The 24,762-nt window shown below is 37.0% G+C and overlaps 1 annotated feature.

Annotated features, from left to right (window-relative positions):
• Positions 10,251 to 10,784: an enhancer, noted in NCBI's record as "OCT4-NANOG hESC enhancer chr5:46339317-46339850 (GRCh37/hg19 assembly coordinates)". NCBI's record gives its function as "activates a minimal SCP1, AML or CMV promoter by ChIP-STARR-seq in primed H9 embryonic stem cells {active_cell/tissue: H9 hESC(primed)}" and the evidence as "EXISTENCE:reporter gene assay evidence [ECO:0000049][PMID:30033119]".

Here is a 24,762-nt window from a genome sequence, read left to right on the forward strand (position 1 = left end):
AATGCTTCTGCCTTTTTTTATGTGAAGATATTTCCTTTTCCACCATAGGCATCAAAGCCTTCTAAATATTGACTTGCAAATTCTACAAAAAGTGTGTTTCAAAACTGCTCTATCAAAAGCAAGGTTCAACTCTGTGAGTTGAATGCACACATCACAAAGAAGTTTCTGAGAATGCTTCTGTCTAGTTTTTGGGTGAAGATACTTCGTTTTCCACCATAGGCCTCAAAGGGAACAAAATATCCACTTGCAGATTCTACAGAAAGAGTGTTTCAAAACTGCTCTATCAAAAGCAAGGTTCAACTCTGTGAGTTGAATGCACACATCACAAAGAAGTTTTGGAGAATGCTTCTGTCTAGTTTTTATGCGAAGATATTTCCTTTTCACAATAGGCCTCAAAGTGCTCCAAATACCCACTTGCAAATTCTACAAAAAGAGTGTCTCAGAACTGCTCTATCAGAAGAAAGGTTGAACTCTGTGAGTTGAATGCACACATCACAAAGAAGTTTCTGAGAACTCTTCTGTCTAGTGTTTATGTGAAGATATTTCGTTTTCCGCCACAGGCCTCCAAGCGCTCCAAATATCCACTTGCAGATACTACAAAAAGAGTGTTTCAAAACTGCTCTATCAGAAGAAAGGTTCAACTCTGTGTGTTGAATGCACACATCACAAAGAAGTTTCTGAGAATGCTTCTACTTTTTATGTGAAGATATTTCCTTTTCCACCATAGGCCTGAAACTTCTCCAAATATCCACTTGCAGATTCCACAAAAAGAGTGTTTCAAAACTGCTCTATCAAAAGAAAGGTTCCACTCTGGGAGTTGAATGCTCACATCAAAACGAAGCTGGTGAGAATGCTTCTGTCTAGTTTTTATTTGAAGATATTTCATTTTCCAACATAGGCCTCAAAGGAAACCAAATATCCACTTGCAGATTCTTCAAAAAGAGTGTTTCAAAACTCCTCTGTCAAAAGAAACGTTAATCTCCGTGAGTTGAATGCACACATCAAAAACAAGTTTCTGAGAATGCTTCTGTTATATTTTATGTGAAGATATTTCCTTTTCCAAAATAGGCCTCAAAGGAAACAAAATATCCACTTGCAGATTCTACTAAACGAGTGTTTCAAAACTGCTATATAAAAAGAAAAGTTTAAATCGGTGAATTGAATGCAAATATCACAAAGAAGTTTCGGAGAATGCTTCTGTCTAGCTTTTATGTGAAGATATTTCCTTTTCCACCATAGGCCTCAAAGCGCTCCAAATATCCACTTGCAGATTCTACAAAAAGAATGTTTCAAAAGTGCTCTATCAAAAGAAAAGTTTAAGACTATGAGTTGAATGCACACATCAGAAAGAAATTTTAGAGAATTCTTCTGTCTAGTTTTTATGTGAATATATTTTGTTTTCCGATATAGGCCTCAAAGGGAACCAATTATCCCCTTTGAGATTCTACAAAAAGTGTGTTTCAAAACTGTTCTATCGAAAGAAAGGTTCAACCCTGTGAGTTGAATGCACACATCACAAAGAAGTTCTCGGAGAATGCTTCTGTCTAGTTTTTATGTGAAGATATTACCTTTTTCAATGTAGGCCTCCAAGCGCTCCAAATATCCACTTCCAGTTTCTACAAAAAGAGTGTTTCAAAACTGATCTATCAAAAGAAATGTGCAAATCTGTGAGTTGAATGGACACATCACAAAGAAGTTTCTGAGAATGCTTGTGTCTAGTTTTTATGTGAATATATTTTCTTTTCCACCGTAGGCCTCAAAGCACTCAAAATGCCCACTTACAGATTCTACAAAAAGAGTGTTTCAAAACTGCTCTATCAAAAGAAAGGTTGCATTCTGTGAGTTGAATGCTCACAGCACAAAGAAGTTTGTGAGAATGCTTCTGTCCATTTTTTATTTGAGGATATTTCATTTTCCAACATAGGCCTCAAAGGAAACAAAATATCCACTTGCAGACTCAACAAAAAGAGTGTTTCAAAACTGCTCTATGAAAGGAAAGTTTAATCTCTGTGAGTTGAATGCACACATCACAAAGCAGTTTTTGAGAAAGCTTCTGTCTGGTTTTCATGTGAAGATATTTCCTTTTCCACCATAGGACCCAAAGAGCTCCAAATATCCACTTGCAGAATATACAAAAGAATGTTTCAAAAGTGCTCTATCAAAAGAAAGGTTCCACTCTTTAAGTTGAATGCACACATCACAAAGAAGTTTCTGAGAATGCTTCCGTCTGGTTGTTATGCAAAGATATTACCTTTTCCAAAATAGGCCTCAACGCCCTTTAAATATCCCTTTGCAGATATTACCAAAACAGTGTTTCAAAACTGCTCAATCAAAAGATAGGTTCAACTCTGTGAGTTGAATGCACACATCATGAAGAAGTTTCTCAGAATGCTTCTGTATAGTTTTTATTTGAAGATTTTTTTTTTTCCACAACAGGCCACAATGGGCTCCAAATATCCACTTGCAGATACTACAAAAAGAGAGATTCAAAACTGTTCCATTAAAAGTTAGCTTCAACTCTGTGAGTTGAATGTACACATCCCAAAGACGTTTCTCAGAATGCTTCTGGGTAGTGTTTATTTGAGGACATTTCCTTTCCCCAATAGGCCTCAAATCGCTCCAAATATCCACATGCAGATACTGCAAAAAGAGAGATTCAAAACTGCTCAATCAAAAGATAGGTTCAACTCTGTGAGTTGAATGCACACATAACAACGAAGTTTCTCAGAATGCTTCTATGTAGTTTTTATGTGAAGATATCTCCTTTTCCAAAATAGGTCTCAAAGCCTTCCAAATATCCCTTTGCAGGTTCTAACAAACAGTGTTTCAAAACTGCACAACCAAAGGAAGGGACCAGCTCTGTGAGATGAGTGCACTCATCACAAAGAAGTTTCTCAGAATGCTTCTGTGTAGTTTTTCTGTGAATATATTCCCTTTTCCTCAATAGGCCTCAATGTGTTCCAAATATACACTTGCAGATTCTACGAAAAGAGAGATTAAAAACTGAACAATCAAAACATAGGTTCAGCTCGGTGAGTTGAATGCACACATTACAAAGAAGTTACTCAGAATGCTTCTGTTTAGTTTTTATTTAAAGATATATCCTTTTCCACCATAGGCAGCCAAGGGCTCCAAATATCCACTTCCAGATCCTACAAAAAGAGAGATACAATACTGCTCAATCAAAAGATAGGTTCAACACTGTGAGGTGAATGCACACATCCTAAAGGAGTGTCTCAAAATGATTCTGCACAGTTTTCTGAGAAGATATTTCCTTTTCCACAAAAGGCCTCGGATCACTCCAAATATCTACATGCAGATACTGCAAAAAGAGAGATTCAAACTACTAAATCAAAAGAGAGGTTCAACTCTGGGAACTGAATGCACACATCTCAAAGAAGTTTCTCTGAATGCTTCTGGGTAGCTTTTATGTGAAGATATTTCCTTTTCCACCATAGGCTTCAAAGCACTTCAAATATCCACTTGCAGAGTTTACAAAGAGTGTTTCAAAACTGCCCTAATGAAAGAAAGGTTCAGCACTGTGAGTTTAATGCACACATCACAAAGAAGTTCCTCAGAATTCTTCTGTCTAGTTTTTATGTGAAGACATTTCCTTTTACACCACAGGCCTCAAAGGAAACAAAGTACCCAACCGCAGATTCTACAAAAAGGGTGTCTCAAATCTGCTCTATCAAAAGAAAGGTTCGTCTCAGCGAGATAAATGCACACATCATGAAGAAATTTCTGAGAATGCTTCTGCTTAGTTTTTATGTGAAGATATTTCCTTTTCCACAATAGACATCAAAGTGCTCCAAATATCCACTTGCAGATTCCACAAAAAGAGTGTTATAAATCTGCTCTATCAAAAGAAAGGTTCAACTCAGTGAGTTGAAGGCACACATCATGAAGAAGTTTCTGAAAATGCTTCTGCCTCTTTTTTATGTGAAGATATTTCCTTTTCCACCATAGGCATCAAAGCATTCCAAGTATTCTCTTGCAGATTCTACAAAAAAGGTGTTTCAAAACTGCTCTATCAAAAGCAAGGTTCAACTCTGTGAGTTGAATGCACACATCACAAAGAAGTTTCTGAGAATGCTTCTGTCTAGTTTTTGGGTGAAGATACTTCATTTTCCACCATAGGCCTCAAAGGGAACAAAATATCCACTTGCAGATTCTACAGAAAGAGTGTTTCAAAACTCCTCTATCAAAAGAAAGTTTGAACTCTGTGAGTTGAATGTCCACATCACGAAGAACTTTCGGAGAATGCTTCTGTCTAGTTTTATGTGAAGATATTTCCTTTTCAAAATAGGCCTCAAAGCACTCCAAATATCCACTTGCAGATTCTACAAAAAGAGCGTCTCAGAACTGCTCTATTAGAAGAAAGGTTGAACTCTGTGAGTTGAATGCACACATCACAAAGAAGTTTCTGAGAATGCTGCTGTCTAGTTTTTATGTGAAGATATTTGCTTTTCCACTATAGGCTTCAAAGGGAACAAAATATCCACTTGCAGATTATACAAAAAGAGTGTTTCCACACTGCTCTATCAAAAGAAAGGTTCAAATCTGTGAGTTGAATGCACACATCACAAGGAAGTTTCTGAGAATCCTTCTGTGTAGTTTTCATGTGAATATATTTCCCTTTCCACCATATGCCTCAAAGGGAACAAAATATCCACTTGCAGATTCTACAAAAAGAGTGTTTCAAAACTGCTCTATCAAAAGAAAGGTTAAAGTCTGTGAATTGAATGCACACATCACAAAGTAGTTTCTGAGAATTCTTCTGTCTAGTTTTTATGTGAAGATATTTCGTTTTCCACCACAGGCCTCCAAGCGCTCCGAATATGCACTTGCAGATACTACAAAAAGAGTGTTTCAAAACTGCTCTATCAAAAGAAAGGTTCAATTCTGTGAGTTGAATGCACACATCACAAAGAAGTTTCAGAGAATGCTTCTGTCTAGTTTTTTTGTTAAGATATTTCCTTTTCCAACGTAGGCCTCCAAGCGCTCCAAGTATCCACTTGCAGGTTCTACAAAAAGAGTGTTTCAAAACTGATCTACCAAAAGAAGTGTCCAAATCTGTGAATTGAAATGACACATCACAAAGAAGTTTCTGAGCATGCTTCTGACTAGTTTTTATGTGAAGATATTTCCTTTTCCACCATAGGCATCAAAGCGCTCCAAATGTCCACTTGCAGATTCCACAAAAAAGAGTGTTTCAAAACTGCTCTATCAAAAGAAAGGTTCCACTCTGTGAGTTGAATGCTCACGTCACAAAGAAGTTTGTGAGAATGCTCTGTCTAGTTTTTATTTGAGGATATTTCATTTTCCAACATAGGCCTCAAAGGAAACAAAATATCCACTTGCAGATTGAAGAAAAAGAGTGTTTCAAAACAGCTCTATGAAAGGAAAGGTTAATCTCTGTGAGTTGAATACACACAACAAAAAGCAGTTTTTGAGAATGCTTCTGTATGGTTTTTATGTGAAGATATTTCCTTTTCCACCATAGGACCCAAAGAGCTCCAAATATCCACTTGCAGAATATACAAAAAGAAAGTTTCAAAAGTGTTGTATCAAAAGAAAGGTTCCACTCTTTGAGTTGAATGCACACATCACAAAGAAGTTTCTGAGAATGCTTCTGTGTAGTTTTTATTTGAAGATATTTTCTTTTCCACAACAGGCCACAATGGGCTCCAAAAAGAGAGATTCAAAACTGTTCCATCAAAAGATAAGTTCAATTCTGTGAGTTGAATGCACACATCCCAAAGATGTTTCTCAGAATGCTTCTGGGTAGTTTTTATGTGAGGATATTTCCTTTCCACAATAGGCCTCAAATTGCTCCAAATATCCACATGCAGATACTGCAAAAAGAGACATTCAAAGCTGCTTAAGCAAAAGATAGGTTCAAATCTGTGTTTTGAATGCACACATAACAAAGAAGTTCTCAGAATGCTTCTATGCAGTTTTTATGTGAAGATATTTTCTTTTCCAAAATAGGCCTCAAAGCCCTCCAAATATCCCTATGCAGATTCTACAAAAGCAGTGTTTCAAAACTGCTCAAAGAAAAGGACCAGCTCTGTGAGATGAGTGTTCTCATCACAAAGAAGTTTCTCAGAATGTTTCTGTGTAGTTTTTCTGTGAATATATTCCCTTTTCCTCAATAGGCCTCAATGTGCTCCAAATACACACTTGCAAATTCTACAAAAAGAGAGATTCAAAACTGCTCTATCAAAATATAGGTTCAGCTCCGTGAGTTGAATGCACACATCACAAAGAAGTTTCTCAGAATGCTTCTGTTTAGTTTTTATTTGAAGATATATCTTTTTCCACCATAGGAAGCCAAGGGCTCTAAATACCCACTTCCAGATCCTAGAAAAAGAGAGATACAATAATGCTCAATCAAAAGATAGGTTCAACATTGTGTGGTGAATTCACACAACCCAAAGAAGTTTCTCTGAATGCTTCTGGGTAGTTTTTGTGTGAAGACATTTCCTTTCCCACCATAAGCCTCAAAGCGTTCCAAATGTCCACGTTCAGATTTTCCAAAAAAAGTGTTTCAAAACTGCTCTAATGAAAGAAAGTTCAACACTGTGAGTTGAATGCACACATCACAAAGAAGTTCCTCAGAATGCTTCTGTCTAGTTTTTATGTGAAGACATTTCCTTTTACACCACAGGTCTCAAAGGAAACAAAGTATCCAGCTGCACATTCTACAAAAAGTGTGTCGCATATCTGCTCTATCAAAAGAAAGGTTCATCTCAGCGAGATAAATGCACACATCATGAAGAAATTTCTGAGAATGCTTCTGTTTAGTTTTTATGTGAAGATATTTCCTTTTCCACAATAGACCTCAAAGCTCTCCAAATATCCACTTGAAGATTCCACAAAAAGACTGTTATAAATCTGCTCTATCAAAAGAAAGGTTCAACTCAGTGAGCTGAATGCACATATCACAAAGAAGTTTCTGAAAATGCTTCTGCCTTTTTGTTTTGAGAAGATATTTCCTTTTCCACCATAGGCATCAAGGAGTTCCAAGTATCCACTTGCAGATTCTACAAAAAGTGTGTTTCAAAACTGTTCTATCAAAAGCAAGGTTCAACTCTGTGTGTTGAATTGACACATTACAAAGAAGTTTCTGAGAATGCTTCTGTCTACTTTTGGGGTGAAGATACTTCGTTTTCTACCATAGCCCTCAAAGGGAACAAAATATCCACTTGCAAATTCTACAGAAAGAGTGTTTCAAAACTGCTCTATGAAAAGAAAGGTTGAACTCTGTGAGTTGAATGCCCACATCACAAAGAATTTTCGGAGAATGCTTCTGTCTAGTTTTATGTGAAGATATTTCCTTTTCACAGTAGGCATCAAAGTGCTCCAAATATCCACTTGCAGAAGCTACAAAAAGAGTGTCTTAGAGAACTGCTCTATCAGAAGAAAGGTTGAACTCTGTGAGTTGAATGCACACATCACAAAGAGGTTTCTGAGAATGCTTCTGTCTGATTTTTATGTGAAGATATTTGCTTTTCCACCGTAGGCTTCAAAGGGAACAAAATATCCACTTGTAGATTGTACAAAAAGAGTGTTTCCACACTGCTCTGTCAAAAGAAAGGTTCAGATCTGTGAGTTGAATGCACACATCACAAAGAAGTTTCTGAAAATCCTTCTGTCTAGTTTTTATGTGACTGTTTCCTTTTCCACCATAGGCCTCAAAGGGAACCAAATATCCATTTGCAGATTCTACAAAAAGAGAGTTTCAAAACTGCTCCATGAGAAGGTATGTTTAACTCTCTGAGATGAATGCAATCATCACAAAGAAGTTTCTGAGAATGTTTCTGCCTAGTTTTTTGTGGAGATATTGCCGTTTCCAATGAAGGCCTCAAACCTGTCCAAATATACACTTGCAGATTCCACAAAAAGAGTGTTTCAAAACTGCTGTATCAAAAGAAAGGTTCAAGACTGTGAGGTGAATGCACACATCCCAAAGAAGTTTCTGAGAATGCTTCTGTCTAGTTTTTATGTGAAGATATTGCCTTTTCCCCATAGCCCTCAAAGCACTCCAAATGTATACTTACAGATTCTACATAAAGAGTGTTTCAAAACTGCTCTACCAAAATGAAGGTTGAACTCTGTGATTTGAATGCACACATCACAAAGAAAATTCTGAGAATGCTTCTGTCTAGTTTTTATGTGAAGATATTTCCTTTTCCATCCTATGCCTCAAAGCGTTCCAAATGTCCACTTGTAGATTCTACAAAAAGAGTGTTTCAAAGCTGCCCTATCAAAAGAGAGGTTCAACTCTGTGAGTTGAATGCACACAACACAAAGTGGTTTCTGAGAATGCTTCTGTCTAGTTTTTATATGAAGATATTTCCTTTTCTACCATAGGCCTCAAAGCACTCCAAATGTCCGCTTGTAGATTCTACAAAAAGAGTGTTCCAAAACTACTCTATCAAAAGGACAGTTCACATCGGTGAGCTGAATGCACACATCACAAAGAAGTTTCTGAGAATGCTTCTGTCTAGTTTTTATGTGAAGATATTCCCATTTCCAACGAAGGCCTCAAACTGGTCCAAACGTCGACTTGCAGATTCTAAAGAGTGTCTCAAAACTGTTCTATCAAAAGAAAGTTCAACTCGGTGAGTTCAATGCACACACCACAAAAAACTTTCTGAGAATGCTTCCATCTAGTATTTACGTGAACATATTTCCTTTACCACCATAGCCCTCAATGCACTTCAAATGTCTACTTGCAGATTCTACACAAACAGTGTTTAAAAACTGCTCTATCAAAAGGAAGGTTCAAATCTCTGAGTTGAATGCACACATCTCAAAGAAGTTTCTGAGAATGCTTCTGTCTTGTTTATATGTGAAGATATTCCTATTGCCAATGAAGGCCTCAAAGCGGGCCAAACATACACTTACAGACCCTTCAAAAAGTATGTTTGAAAGCTGCTCTATGAAAATGTATGTTCATCTCTGGGAGATGAATGCAAACGTCACAAAGAAGTTTCTGAGAATGCTTCTACCTATTTTTTATGTGAAGATATTTCCATTTCCACCATAACCTTCCAAGTGCTCCAATGTACACTTGCAGATTCTACAAAAGGAGTATTTCAGAACTGCTCTATCATAAGGAAGATTCAACTCCGTGAGTTGAATGCAAAGATCACACAGTAGTTTCTGAGAAAGCTTCTGTCTAGTTATGAGAATATATACCCGTTTCCAGTGAAGGACACAAAGCACTCCAAATATCCACTTACAGATTCTACAAAAAGAGTGTTTCAAAATGCTCTTTGAAAAGGTATGTTCAACTCTGTGAGTTGAAGGCAAACATCACAAAGAAGTTTCTGAGAAGGCTTCAGTCTAGTTTTTATGTGAAGATATTTCCTTTTCCACCATAGCCATGAAAGCGCTCGAAATGTCCACTTGCAGATTCTACAAAAAGAGGGTTTCAAAACTGCTCTATCAAAAAGAGGGTTCACCTCTGTGAGTTGAACGCACACAGAACAGAGAAGTTTCTGAGAATACTTCTATCTAGTTTTTATGTGAAGAGATTCCCGTTTCCAACCAAGGCCTCAAAGTGGTCCAAATATACACTTGCAGATTTTACAAAAAGCATCTTTCAAAGCTGCTCTATGAAAACGTATGTTCAACTCTGTGAGTTGTATGCAAACATCACACAGAAGTTTCTGAGAATACTTCTGTCTAGTTTTTATGTGAAGATACTCCCATTTCCAAAGAAGGCCTCAAAGCATTCCAAATATTCACTTGCAGATTCTACAAAAAGAATGTTTCAAATCTGCTCTATGAAAAGGTATGTTGAACTCTGTCAGTTGTATGCAAACATCACAAAGAAGTTTCTGAGAATGCTTCTATCTTTTATGTGAAGATATTTCATTTTCCACCATAACCCGCAAAGTGCTCCAAATGTACACTTGCAGATTCTACAAAAAAAGTATTTCAAAATTGCTCTATCAAATGCAAAGTTCAACTCTGTGAGTTAAACAAACAGCACAAAGTAGTTTCTGAGAATGCTTCTGTCTAGTTATCAGAATATATACCCATTTCCAACGAAGGCCACAAAGCAGTCCAAATATCCACTTGCAGATTCTACAAAAAGAGTGTTTAAAAACTGCTCTACCAAAAGGAAGCTTAAATTCTGTCAGGTGAATGCAGACATCACAAAGAAGTTTCTGAGAATGTTTCTGTCTAGTTTTTATATGTAGATATTCCCCTTTCCGATGAAGGCCTCAAACCGGTCCAAATATCCACTTTCAGATTCCACAAAAAGACTGTTTCAAAACTGCTCTATGAAAAGGCATGTTCAACTCTGTGAGTTGAATGGCAACTTCACAAAGAAGTTTCTGAGAATGCTTCTGTCTAGTTTTTATGTGAAGATATTTGATTTTCCACCACAGCCCTCAAAGTGCTCCAAATGTCCACTTGCAGATTTTACAAAAAGAGTGTTTCAAAACTGCTCTATCGAAAGGAAGTTTCAAGTCTGTGAGTTGAATGCACACAACACAAAGAAGTTTCTGAGAATGCTTCTCTCTGGTTTTTATGTGAAGATATTCCCGTTTGCAATGAAGGCCTCAAAGCAGTCCAAATATACACTTACAGATTCTACAAAAAGAGTCTTTCACAGCTGCTCTATGAAAAGGTATGCACAACTCTGTGAGTTGAATGCAAACATCACAAAGAAGTTTCTGAGAATGCTTCTATCTAGTTTTTATGTGAAAATGTTTCATTTTCCACCATAACCCTCAAAGCATTCCAAATGTACACTTGCAGATTCTACAAAAAGAGTATTTCAAAACTGCTCTATCAAAAAGTAGGTTCAACTCTGTCGGTTGAATGCGAACATCACAAAGTAGTTTCTGAGAATGCCTCTTTAAAGTTTTTATGAGAATATAATCCCGTTTCCAAGGAGGGCCACAAAGCAGTCCAAATAACCACTTGCAGATTTTACAAAAAGAGTGTTTAAAAAAAGTCCTACAAAAGGAAGGTTCAAATCTGTTAGTTAAATGCACACATCACAAAGAAGTTTCTGAGAATGCTTCTGTCTAGTTTTTATGTGAAGATATTTCCTTTTCCACCATAGGCCTCAAAGCTCTATAAATGTCCACTTGCAGATTCTACAAAAAGAATGTTTCAAAGCTGCTCTATCAAAAGAGAGGTTCAACTCTGTGAGTTGAATGCACACAACAAAATAGTTTCTGAGAAAGTTTCTGTCTCGTTTTTATACGAAGATATTTCCTTTTCTACAATAGGCCACAAAGCGCTCCAAATGTCTGCTTGCACATTCTACACGAAGAGTGTTTCAAAACTGCTCTATCAAAAGCAAGGTTCACATCTGTGAGTTGAATGCACACATCACAAAGCAGTTTCTGAGAATGATTCTGTCCAGTTTTTATGGGAAAATATTCCCGTTTCCGACGAAGATCTCAAACCGGTTCAAATATCCACTTGCAGATCCCACAAAAAGAGTGTTTCAATACTGCTCTATCAAAAGCAAAGTTCACCTCTCTGAGTTGAATGCTCACATCACCAAAAGTTTCTGTGAATCCTTCTGTCGTTTATATGAAAAGATAAGTCCTTTTCCACCATAGCCCTCAAAGCTCTCCAAATGTCCACTTGCAGATTCTGCAAATAGATTGTTTTGAAACTGCTCTATCTCCTGGAAGGTTCAACACTTTGAGTTGAATGCACACATCCCAAAGAAGTTTCTGAGAATGCTTCTGTCTAGTTTTTATGTGAAGATATTTCCTTTTCCACCTTGGCCTCAAAGTGCTCCAAATATCCACTTGGACATTCTACAAAAAGAGTGTTTCAAAACAGCTCTATCAAAAGGAAGGTTCAACTCTGTGAGGTGAATGGATACATCACAAAGTAGTTTCTGAGAATGATTCTGTCTTGTTTTTATGGGAAGATATTCCCTTTTGCAAGGAAGGCCTCAAACTGGTCCAAATATCCACTTGCAGATTCCCCAAAAAGTGTGTTTCAAAACTGCTCAATCAAAAGCAAGCTTCAACTATGTGACTTGAATGCATACATCACAAAGAAGTTTCTTAGAATGCTTCTGTCTAGATTTATGTGAAGATATTCCCGTTTCCAACGAAGGCTTCAAAGCACTCCAAATATCCACTTGCAGATTCTGCAAATAGAGTGTTTCAAAACCGCTCTATCAAAAGGAAGGTTCAACTCTGTGAGTTGAATGCACGCATCACAAAGAAGTTTCTGAGAATGCTTCTGTCAAGTTTTTATGAGAAGATATTCCCGTTTCCAACAAAGGCCACAAAGCCATCCAAATATCCACTTGCGGATTCTACAAAAATAGTGTTATAAAACTGCTCTATGAAAAGCTATGTTCAACTCTGTGAGTTGAATGCAGACATCACAAAGAAGTCTGTGAGAATGCTTCTGTTTAGTTTTTATGTGAAGATATTTTCTTTTCCCCCATAGCCCTCAAAGCGCTTCAAGTGTCCACTTGCAGATTCTACAAAAAAAGTGTTTCATAACTGCTCAATCGGAATGTCGCTTCAACTCTGTGAGTTGAATGCACACATCACAAAGAAGTTTCTGAGAATGCTTCTGCTAGTTTTTATGTGAAGATATTTCCTCTTCCACAATAACCCTCAAAGTGCTCCAAATGTCCTTTGGAGAATCCTTTCCCCATTGCTTGTTTTCTCAGGTTTGTCAAAGATCCTATAGTTGTAGATATGTGGCATTATTTCTGAGGGCTCCGTTCTGTTCCATTGATCTATATCTCTGTTTTGGTACAAGTACCATGCTGGTTTGGTTACTGTAGACTTGTAGTATAGTTTGAAGTCTGGTAGCGTGATGCCTCTAGCTTCGTTCTTTTGGCTTAGGATTGAGTTGGCAATGTGGGCTCTTTTTTGGTTCCATATGAACTTTAAAGTAGTTTTTTCCAGTTCTGTGAAGAAAGTCATTTGTAGCTTGATGGGGATGACATTGAATCTGTAAATTACCTTGGTCAGTATGGCCATTTTCACTATATTGATTCTTCCTACCCATGAGCATGGAATGTTCTTCCATTTGTTTCTATCCTCTTTTATTTCCTTGAGCAGTGGTTTGTAGTTCTCCTTGAAGAGGTCCTTCACATCCCTTGTAAGTTGTATTCCTAGGTATTTTATTCTTTCTGAAGCAATTGTGAATGAGAGTTCACTCATGATTTGGCTCTCTGTCTGTTATTGGTGTATAAGAATGCTTGTGATTTTCCTACATTGATTTTGTATCCTGAAAAAAACAAACAACCCCATCAAAAAGTGGGTGAAGGACATGAACAGACACTTCTCAAAAGAAGACATTTATGCAGCTAAGAAACACATGAAAAAAGCTCACCATCACTGGCTATCAGAGAAATGCAAATCAAAACCACAATGAGATACCATCTCACACCAGTTAGAATGGCAATCATTAAAAAGTCAGGAAACGACAGGTGCTGGAGAGGATGTGGAGAAATAGGAACACTTTTACACCGTTGGTGGGACTGTAAACTAGTTCAACCCTTGTGGAAGTCAGTGTGGCGATTCCTCAGGGATCTAGAACTAGAAATACCATTTGACCCATCCATCCCATTACTGGGTATATACCCAAAGGACTATAAATCATGCTGCTATAAAGACACATACACACGTATATTTATTGTGGCATTATTCACAATAGCAAAGACTTGGAACCAACCCAATGTCCAACAATGATATACTGGATTAAGAAAATGTGGCACATATACAACATGGAATACTATGCAGCCATAAAAAATGATGAGTTCATGTTCCTTGTAGGGACATGGATGAAATTGGAAATCATCATTCTCAGTAAACTATCGCAAGAAAAAAAAAAACAAACACTGCATATTCTCACTAATAGGTGGGAATTGAACAATGAGAACACATGGACACAGGAAGGGGAACATCATACTCTGGGGCCTGTTGTGGGGGTTTGTGAGGGGGGAGGGATAGCATTGGGAGATATACCTAATGCTAGATGATGAGTTAGTGGGTGCAGCGCACCAGCACAACATATGTATACATATGTAACTAACCTGCACATTGTGCACATGTACCCTAAAACTTAAAGTATAATAATAAAAAAATAAAAAAAATTTAAAAAAAATTTCCTTTTCCACCAAAGGCCAAAAAGTGCTCCAGCACTCCAAATATACACATGCATATTTTAGAAAAAGAGCGTTTCAAAATTGCTCTATCAAAAGAAAGGTTCAACTCTGTGAGTTGAACGCTCACATCACAAAGAAGTTTCTGAGAATGCTTCTGTCTAGATTTTATGTGAAGATATTTCCTTTTCCACCATATGTAGGCAAGCACTACAAATATCCACTTGCAGATTCTACAAAAAGAGTGTTTCAAAACTTCTCTATCAAAAGAAAAGTTCATATCTGTGAGTTGAATGCACATACCACAAAGCAGTTTCTAAGAATGCTTCTGTCTAATTTTTATGTGAAGATATTTCCTTTTCCACCATGGGAAACAAAGCACTCCAAATATCCACTAGCATATTCTACAAAAGAGTGTTTTGAAACTGCTCTATCAAAAGAAAGGTCCAACTGTGTGAGTTGAATGCTCACATCACAAAGAAGTTTCTGAGAATGCTTCTGTCTAGTTTTTATGTGAAGATATTTCCTTTTCCAACAAAGGCCTCAAAGGAAACAATCTATCCTCTGGAAGACTCTACAAAAAGAGCGTTTCAAAACTACTCTATCAAAGAAAAGGTCCAACTCTGTAATTTGAATGCACACAACACAAAGTCGTTTCTGAGAATGCTTGTTTCTAGTTTTTATGTGACGATATTTCCTTTTCCACCATAGGCCACAAAACGCTCCAAATATCCACTTGCAGATCCTACAAAAAGAGTGATTCAAAACTGCTCTATCAAAAGAAAGGTTCAACTCTGTGAGTTGAATGCACACATCACAAAGAAGTTTCGGAGAATGCTTCCCTGTGGTTTTTATGAGAAGATATTTCCTTTTAGACCATAGGCATCCAAGCGCTACAAATATCCACTTGCAGATTCTACAAAAAGAGTGTTTCAAAACTGCTCTATCAAAAGAATGGTTCAACTCTGTGAGTTAAATGCACACACCACAAAGAAGTTTCTGAGAATGCTTCTGTCTAATTTTTATGTGAAGATATTTCGTTATCCAACATAGACCTCAAAGGAAACAAAGTAGTCAAAAGAAGACCCTACAAAACGAGTGTTTCAAAACTGTTCTATCAAAAGAAAGTTTCAGCTGAGGGAGTAGAATTCATACATCACAAAGAAGTTTCTGAGAATGCTTCTGCCTAGTTTTTATTTGAAGATATTTCTTTTTCCACCACTTCCTCAAAGCGCTCCAAATATCCACTTGCAGATTCTGCAAAAAGAATTTCCAAACTCCTGTATCAAAAGGAAGATTCAACTCTGTGAGTTGAATGCACACATCACAAAGAAGTTTCTGACAATGCTTCTGTCTAGTTTTTCTTTAGATACTTCTTTTTCAAACATAGGCCTCAAAGGAAACCAAATATCCACTTGCAGATTCTAGAAAAAGATATTTCAAAACTGCTCTATCAAAAGAAATGTTCAACACTGTGAGTTTTATGCACACATCACAAAGAAATTTCGGAGACTGCTTCTGTCTAGTTTCAAGTGAGGATATTTCTTTTCCACCATAGGCCTCAAACCACTCCTAATATCCACTTGCAGATTCTACAGAAAGATTGTTTCAAAACTGCTCTACAAAAAGAAAGTTTCAACTGTGTGAGTTGAATGCACACGTCACAAAGATGTTTCTGAAAATGCTTGTGTCTGTTTTTTCTGTGAAGATATTTCCTTTTACACCATAGGCCTCAAGGGGAACTAAATGTCCACGTGCAGATTCTGTAAAAAGAGTGTTTCAAAACTGCTCTATCAACAGAAAGGTTCAACTCCGTCAGTTGAATGCACACATCACAAAGAAGTTTCAGAAAATGCTTCTGTCTAGTTTTTATGTCAAGATATTGCCTTTTCCAACATAGGCCTCCCAGCGCTCCAAATATCCGCTTGCAGATTCTACAAAAAGAATGTTTCAAACAGCTCTATGTAAGGAGTGGTTCAACTCTGTGTGTTGAATGCACACATCACAAAGTAGTTTCTGAGAATGCTTCTGTCTAGTTTTTATATGAAGATATTTTGTTTTCCAACATAGGACACAAAGGAAACCAAATATCCACTTGCAGATTCCACAAAAAGCGTGTTTCAAAACTGCTCTATCAAAAGAATGGTTCAACTCTCTGTGTTGAATGTACACATCACAAAAAAGTTTCTGAGAATGCTTCTGTCTAGTTTTTATGTGAAGATATTTCCTTTTCCACCATAAGGCTCAAAGCACTCCAAATATCCACTTGCAGATTCTTCAAAAAGAATGTTTCAAAACTGCTCTATCAAAAGAAAGCTTCAACCAAGTGGGTTGAAGGCACACATCACAAAGAAGTTTCTGAGAATTCTCGTGTCTAGTTTTCATGTGAAGATATTTCCTTTTTCACCATAGGCTTCAAGGAGAATCAAATATCCATGTGCAGATTCTGCAAAAGGAGTGTTTCAAAACTGCCCTATTGAAAGAGAAGTTCGACTCTGTGAGTTGAATGCACACCTGACAAAGGAGTTTCTGAGAATGGTTCTGTCTACTTTTTATGTGAAGATATTTCCTTTTCCACCATATGCCTCCAAGTGCTCCAAATATCCACTTATAGATGCTACAAAAAGAGTGTTCAAAATTGCTCTATCAAAAGGAAGGTTCCTATCCGAGAGTTGAATGCAAACATCACAAAGAAGTTTCTGAGAATGCTTCTGTCTAGTTTTTATGTGAAGATATTTCCTTTTCCAACATACGCCTATAAGGAAAGCAAACATCCAGCTGGAGATTCTACAAAAAGAGTGTTTCAAAACTGCTCTATCAAAAGAAAGGTTCAACTCTGTGAGTTGAATGCACACATCACAAAGTAGTTTCGGAGAACGCTTCTGTCCAGTTCTTATGTGAAGATATTTCCTTTTCCACCATAGGCCTCAAAGCGCTCCAAGTATCCACTTGCAGATTCTACATAAAGAGAGTTTCAAAGCTGCTTTATAAAAACAAAGGTTAAACTCTGTAAGTTGAATGCACACATCACAAAAGAGTTTCTGAGAATGCTTGTGTCTAGGTTTTATGAGAAGACATTTAGTTTTCAACCACAGCCCTCCAAGGGCTCCAGATATCCACTTGCAGATTCGATAAAAAGAGTGATTCAAAACTGCTCTATCAAAAGAAATTTTCAACTCTGTGAGTTGAATGCACACATCACAAAGTAGTTTCTGAGAATGCTTCTGTCTGGTGTTTACGTGAACGTATTACCTTTTCTACCACAGCACTAAAAGCGATCTAAATATCCACTTGCAGGTTCTGCAAAAAGAGTGTTTCAAAACTGCCCTATCAAAAGAAAGTTTCAACTCTGTGTGTTGAATGCACACATCACAAAGAAGTTTCTGAGAAAGCTTCTGTCTAGCTTTTATGTGAAGATATTTCCTATTTCATAATATGCCTCAAAGCGTTCCAAATGTCCACTTGCAGATTCTACAAAAAGAGTGTTTCAAAACTGCTCTATCATAAAGAAGGTTCAACTCTGTGAGTTGAATGCACACATCACAAAGAAGTTTCTGAGAATGCTTCTGTCTAGTTTTTATATGAAGATACTTCCTTTTCTACCATGGGCTTCAAAGCACTCCAAAAATCCACTTGTAGATTCTACAAAAACAGTGTTTCAAAACTGCTCTATGAAAAGGAAGGTTCAACTCTCTGTGTTGAATGTACACATCACAAAGAAGTTTCTGAGAATGCTTCTCTCTAGTTTTTATGTGAAGATATTCCCGTTTCCACCGAAGGCCCCAAAGCCCTCCAAATATCCACTTGCAGATTCTACAAAAAGAGTGTTTAAAAACTGCTCTATGAAAAGGTATATTTAACTCTCTGAGTTGAATGCAATCATCACAGAGAAGTTTCTGAGAATGCTTCTGTCTAGTTTTTATATGAAGATACTCCCTTTCCTTATGAAATCCTCAAACCAGTCTAAATATCCACTTGCAGGTTCTACAAAAAGAGTGTTTCAAAACTGCTCTTTGAAAAGGTATGTTCAACTCTGTGTGTTGAAGGCACATATCAAAAAGAAGTTTCTGAGAATGCTTCTGACTAGTTTTTATGTGAAGATATTTCGTTTGCCAACGTAGGCCTCAAAGCTATCCAACTATCCACTTGCAGATTCTACAAAAAGAGTGTTTCAAAACTGCTGTATCAAAAGAAGGGTTCAGCTCTGTGAGTTGAATGCACAAATCACAAAGAAGTTTCGGAGAATGTTTCTTTCTAGTTTTTATGTGAAGATATTTCTTTTTCCACCATAGGCCTCCAAGCGCTGCAAATATCCACATGCAGATTCTAAAAAAACAGTGTTTCAAAACTTCTCTATAAAAAGAAAATTTCAACACTGTGAGTTTAATGCACACATCAGGAAGAAGTTTCTGAGAATACTTCTGTCTAGTTTTTAGGTGAAGATAATTCCTTTTCCACCGCAGGCCTCAAAGTGCTCCAGTATTGCACTTGCAGATTAGACAAAAAGAGTGTTTCAAAACTGCTCTATCAAAAGAATGATTCAACTCTTGGAGTTGAATGCACTTATCAAAAAGAAGTTTTGGAGAATGTTTCTTTCTAGTTTTTATGTGAAGATACTTCAGTTTCCACCATAGGCCTCAAAGCGTTCCAAATATCCACCTTTAAATACTACAAAAAGATTGTTTCAAAACTGCTCTATCAATCAAAAGAAAGGTTCAACTGTGTGAGTTGAATACACACATCACAAAGTAGTTTCTGAGAATATTTGTGTCTGCTTTTTATGTAAAGATATTTCCTTTTCCACCATAGCCCTCCAAGCACTCCAAATATCCTCTTGCATATTCTACAAAAAGAGTGTTTGAAAACTGCTCTATCAAAAGAAAGTTTCAAATCTGTGAGTGGAATGCGCACATCACAAAGAAGTTTCGGAGAATGCTTCTGTCTATTTTTTATGTGAAGTTATTTCCTTTTCCACAATAGGCCTCGAAGCACTCAAAATATCCACTTACAGATTCTACATAAAGAGTGTTTCAAAACTGCTCTATCAAAACAAAATTTCAACTCTGTGAGTTGAATGCACTCATCACAAATCTGTTTGTGATAATGCTTCTGTCTAGCTTTTATCTGAAGATATTTTGTTTTCGAACATAGCCCTCAAAGGGAACAAAATATCCACTTACAGATTCTACAAAAAGAGTTTTTCAAAACTGCTCTGTCAAAAAAAAGGATCAATTCTAGGAGTTGAAGGCACACATCACAAAGAAGTTACTGAGAATCCTTGTTCTAGTCTCTATGTAAAGATATTTCCTTTTCCACACAGGCCTCTAAGGTCTCTAAATGTGCACTTGCAGATTCTAAAAAATGAGTGTTTCAAAACAGCTATATCAAAAGAAAGGTTCAACTCTGTGAGTTCAATGCATATATCACAAAGCAGTTTCTGGGAATGCTTCAGCCTAGTTTTTATGTGAAGATATTCCCGTTTCTACCAAAGGCCTCAAAGTGCTCCAATATCCACTTGCAGATTCTACAAAAAGAGTATTTCAAAACAGCTCTATGAAAAGAAATGTTCATCTCGGTGAGGTAATTGCAAATATCACAAAGAAGTTTCTGGGAATGCTTCTGTATAGTTTTTATGTTTAGATATTTCCTTTTTCACCAAATGCCTCAAAGTTCACCAAATGTCCACTTGCTGCTTCTACAAACAGGGTGTTTCAAAAGCCCTCTATGAAAAGTAATGTTTAAGTCTGTGAGTTGAATGAACACATCACAAAGAAGTTTCTGAGAATGCTTCTGTCTAGTTTTATATGAAGATATTCCCGTTTACACTGTAGACCACAAAGCACTGCAAATATCCACTTGTAGATTCTACAAAAAGAGTGTTTCAAAACTGCCTTATCAGAAGAAAGATTCAATTCTGTGATTTGAAAGCACACATCACAATGAAGTTTGTGAGAATGCTTCTGTCTAGTTTTTATGTGAAGATATACCCGTTTCCAACAAAGGTCTCAAAGTGGTCCAATTATCGAGTTGCAGATTTTACAAAAGAGTGTTTCAAAACTGCTCTATGAAAAGGAATGTTCAACTCTGTGAGTAGAATGCAAACATCACAAACAAGTTTCCAAGAATGTTTCTCTCTATTTTTTCTATGAAGATATTTCCTTTTTCATAATATGCCTCAAAGCACTCCAAATGTCTACTTGCAGATCCCACAAAAAGAGTATTTCAAAACTGCTCTATTAAAAAGAAGGTTCAACTCTGTGAGTTGAATGTACACATCACAAAGAAGTTTCTGAGAATGCTTCTGTCTAGTTTTTATATGAAGATACTTCCTTTTCTACAATAGGCCACAAAGCGCTCCAAAAATCCACTTCTAGATTCCACAAAAAGAGTGTTTCAAAACTGCTCAATGAAAAGGAAGGTTCAACTCTCTGTGTTGAATGTACACATCACAAAGAATTTTCTGAGAATACTTCTGTGTACTTTTTATGTGAAGATATTCCCGTTTCCACCGCTGGCCTCAAAGAGCTTAAAATATCCACTTGCAGATTTTCCAAAAAGAGTGTTTCAAAAATGCTCTATCGAAAGGAATGTTCAACTCCCGGTGTTGAATGCACACATCGCAAAGAAGTTTCTGAGAATGCTTCTGTCTAGTTTTTATGTGAAGATATTCCCGTTTCCACCGAAGGCCTCAAAGCGCTCCAAATATCCACCTGCAGATTACACGAAAAGAGTGTTTCAAAACTGCTATATCAAAAGAAAGGTTCAACTCTGTGAGCTGAATGCACGCATCACAAATAAATTTCTGAGAATGCTTCTGTCTATTGTTTATTTGAAGATATTTCCTTTTGCACCATAGCCCTCAAAGTGCTCAAAATGTCCTCTTGCAGATTCTACAAAAAGAGTGTTTCCAAACTGCTGTATAAAAAGTAAGCTTCAACTCTGTGAGTTGAATGCATGCATCACAAAGAGGTTTCTGAGAATGCTTCTGTCTAGTTTATATGTGAAGATATTTCCTTTACCACCATAGGCCTCAAAGCTATCCAATTGTCCACTTGCAGATTCTACAAAAAGAGTGATTCAAAACTGCTCTATCAAAAGGAGGCTTCAACTATGTGAGTTGAATGCACACATCCAAAGAAGTTTCTGAGAATGCTTCTGTCTAGTTTTTATGTGAACTGATTTCCTTTTCTACCATAGCCTTCAAAGTGCTCCAAAAGTACACTTGCAGATTCTACAAAAAGAGGTTTTCAAAACTCCTCTATGAAAAGGTGTGTTCTATTCTGTGAGTTGAATGCAAACATCACAATGAACTTTCTGAGAATGCTTCTGTCTAGTTTTTATGTGAAGATATTTCCTTTTCCACCATAGCCCTCAAAGAGCTCCAAATGTCCACTTGCAGATACTACAAAAAGAGTGTTTCAAAACTGCTCTATTGAAAGGAAGGTTCAACTCTGTGAATTGAATGCACACATCACAAAGAAGTTTCTAAGAAAGCTTCTGTCTACTTTTTATGTGAAGATATACCCGTTTCCACGGACGGCATCAAAGTTGTCCAAATAAACACTTGCTAATTCTACAAAAATTGTGTCAAAGATGATCTATGAAAAAGTATGTTCAACTCTGTGAGTTGAATGCAATCATCAGAAAGAAGTTTAAGAGAGTGCTTCTGTCTGGTTTTTATGAGAATATAAACCCGTTTCCAAAGAAGGCCCCAAATCGGTCAAAATATCCACTTGCAGATTCTACAAAAAGAGAGTTTCACACCTGCTCCACTGAAAGGAAGGTTCAACTCTGTGAGTTGAATGCACACATCACAAAAAAGTTTCTGAGAATGCTTCTGTCTAGGTTTTATGTGAAGATATTTCCTTTCCCACCATAGCCCTCAAAGCACTCCAAATATCCACTTGCAGATTCTACACAAAGAGTGTTTCAAAACGGCTCTATGAAAAGGAAGGTTCAACTCTGTGAGGTGAATGCACATATCACAAAGAAGTTTCTGAGAATGCTTCTGTCTAGTTTCCATGTGAAGGTATTCCCGTTTCCAACGAGGGCCTCAAACCTGTCCAAATATCCACTTGCAGATTCAAAAAAAGAGTTTTTCAAAACTTCTCTATCATAAGAATGGTTCAATTCTGGGTTGAATTCACACATCAATAAGAAGTTTCTGAGAATGCTTCTGTCTAGTTTTAATGTGAGGATATTCCCGTTACCAACGAAGGCCTCAAACTGTTCCAAATGTCCACTTGCAGATTCTTAAAAAAAGAGTGTTTAAAAACTGCTCTATAAAAGGAAAAGTTCACCTCGGTGAGTTGAATGCACACATCACAAAGAAGTTTCTTAGAATGCTTCTGACTAGTTTTAATGTGAAGATGTTTCCCTTTCCATGATAGTCCTCAAAGTGCTCCAAATGTCCTCTTACAGAATCTACAGAAAGAGTTTCAAAACTGCTCTATCAAAAGGAAGGTTCAACTCGTGAGTTGAATGCAACCATCACAAAGAAGTTTTTGAGAATGCTTCTGTCTAGTTTTTATGTGAAGATATTCCCCTTTCCAACGAAGGCCTCAAATCAGTCCAAATATCCACTTGCAGATTCTAAAAAAAGAGTGTTTCAAAACGGCTCTATCATAAGGAAGGTTCAACTCTATGAGTTGAATGCACACATCACAAAGAAGTTTCTGAGAATGCTTCTGTCAAGTTTCTATGTGAAGATATTTCCTTGTCTACCATCGCCCTCAAAGCCTTCAAAATGTCCACTTGCAGATTCTGCAAATAGAGTGTTTCAAAACTTTTCTATCAAAAGGAAGGTTCAAATCTGTGAGTTGAATGCACACATCATGAAGAAGTTTCTGAGAATTTTTCTATCAAGTTTTTATGAGAAGATATACCCGTTTCCAATGAAGGCCACAAACCCGTCCAAATATACACTTTCATATTCTAAAAAAAGTGTGTTTCAAAGCTACTCTATGAAAAGCTATGTTCAACTCTGTGAGTTGAATGCAACCATCACAAAAAAGTTCCTGAGAATACTTCTATCTAGTTTTTACGTGAAGATATTTCATTATCCACCATAACCCTCAAAGCTCTCCAAATGTACGCTTGCAGATTCCACACAATGAGTATTTCAAAACTGCTCTATGAAAGGGAAGCTTCAACTCTTTGAGTTGAATGCAAACATCACAAAGATGTTTCTGAGAATGCTTCCATATAATTATGAGAAGATATACCAGTTTCCAATGATGGGCACAAAGCAGTCAAAATATCCACTTGCAGTTTCTACAAAAAGAGTGTCTCAAAACTGCTCTACCAGAAGGAAGGTTCAACTCAGTGAGTTGAATAAAAGCATCAGAAAGAACTTTCTGAGAATGCTTCTATCTTGTGTTTATGTGTAGATATTTCCTTTTCCACCATAGGCCTCAAAGCTCCCCAAATGTCCATTTGCAGATTCTACAAAAAGAGTGTTTCAAAGCTGCTCTATCAAAAGAAAGGTTCAACTCTGTGAGTTGAATGCACACAACACAAAGTAGTTTCTGAGAATGCTTCTGTCTAGTTTTTATATGAAGATATTTCCTTTTCTACCATAGACCTCAAAGAGCTCCAAATGTCCGCTGGCAGATTCTACACAAACAGTGTTTCAAAACTACTCTATCAAAAGGAATGGTCACATCTGTGAGTTGAATGCACACATCATAAAGAAGTTTCTGAGTATGCTTCTGTCTAGTTTTTAAGTGAAGATATTCCCGTTTACAATGAAGGCCTCAAATGGTCCAAATATCCACTTGTAGATTCTAAAAAAAACAGTGTTTCAAAACTGCTCAATCATAAGGAAGGTTCAACTCTGTGAGCTGAATGCACACATCACAAAGAAGTTTCTGAGATGCTTCTGTCTAGTTTTTATGTGAAGATATTTCCTTTTTCACCATAGCCCTCAAAGCGTTCCAAATGTCCACTTGCAGATTCTACAAAAAGAGTGTTTCAATACTGCTCTAACAAGAAGAGTTCAACTCTGTGAGTTGAATGCATACATAACAAATAAGTTTCTGAGAATTCTTTTGTCTAGTTTCTATGAGAATATAATCCCATTTCCAATGAAGGCTGCAAAGCCGTCCAAATATCCAGTTGCAGATTCTGCAAAAAGAGTGTTTCAAAACTGCACTACCAAAAGTAAGGTTCACATCGTTGAACTGAATGCACACGTCACAAAGAAGTGTGTGAGAATGCTTCTGTCTAGTTTTTATGTGAAAATAATATCTTTTCCTAAGAAATCCTCAACGCAGTCCAAATATCCACTTGCAGATTCTAAAAACAGAGTGTTTCATAACTGCTCTATCATAAGAGAGCTTCAACTCTATGAGTTGAATGCACGCATCACAAAGAAGTTTCTGACTATGCTTCTGTCTACTGTCTATGTGAAGATATTTCCTTTTCCACCTTAGACCTCAAAGCGCACCAAATGTCCACTTGCAGATTCTACAAAAAGAGTGTTTCAAAACTGCTGTATCAAAAGGAAAGTTCAACTCCCTGAGTTGAATGCACACAATACAAAGAAGGTTCTCCCAATGCTTCTGTCTAGTTTTCATGTGAAGATATTTCCTTTTCCACCATAGCCCTCAGAGTGCTTCAAATATATACTTGCA

The sequence above is a fragment of the Homo sapiens genome, chromosome 5 (genome assembly GCF_000001405.40).
Source record: "Homo sapiens chromosome 5, GRCh38.p14 Primary Assembly".
Classification (NCBI taxonomy): domain Eukaryota; kingdom Metazoa; phylum Chordata; class Mammalia; order Primates; family Hominidae; genus Homo; species Homo sapiens.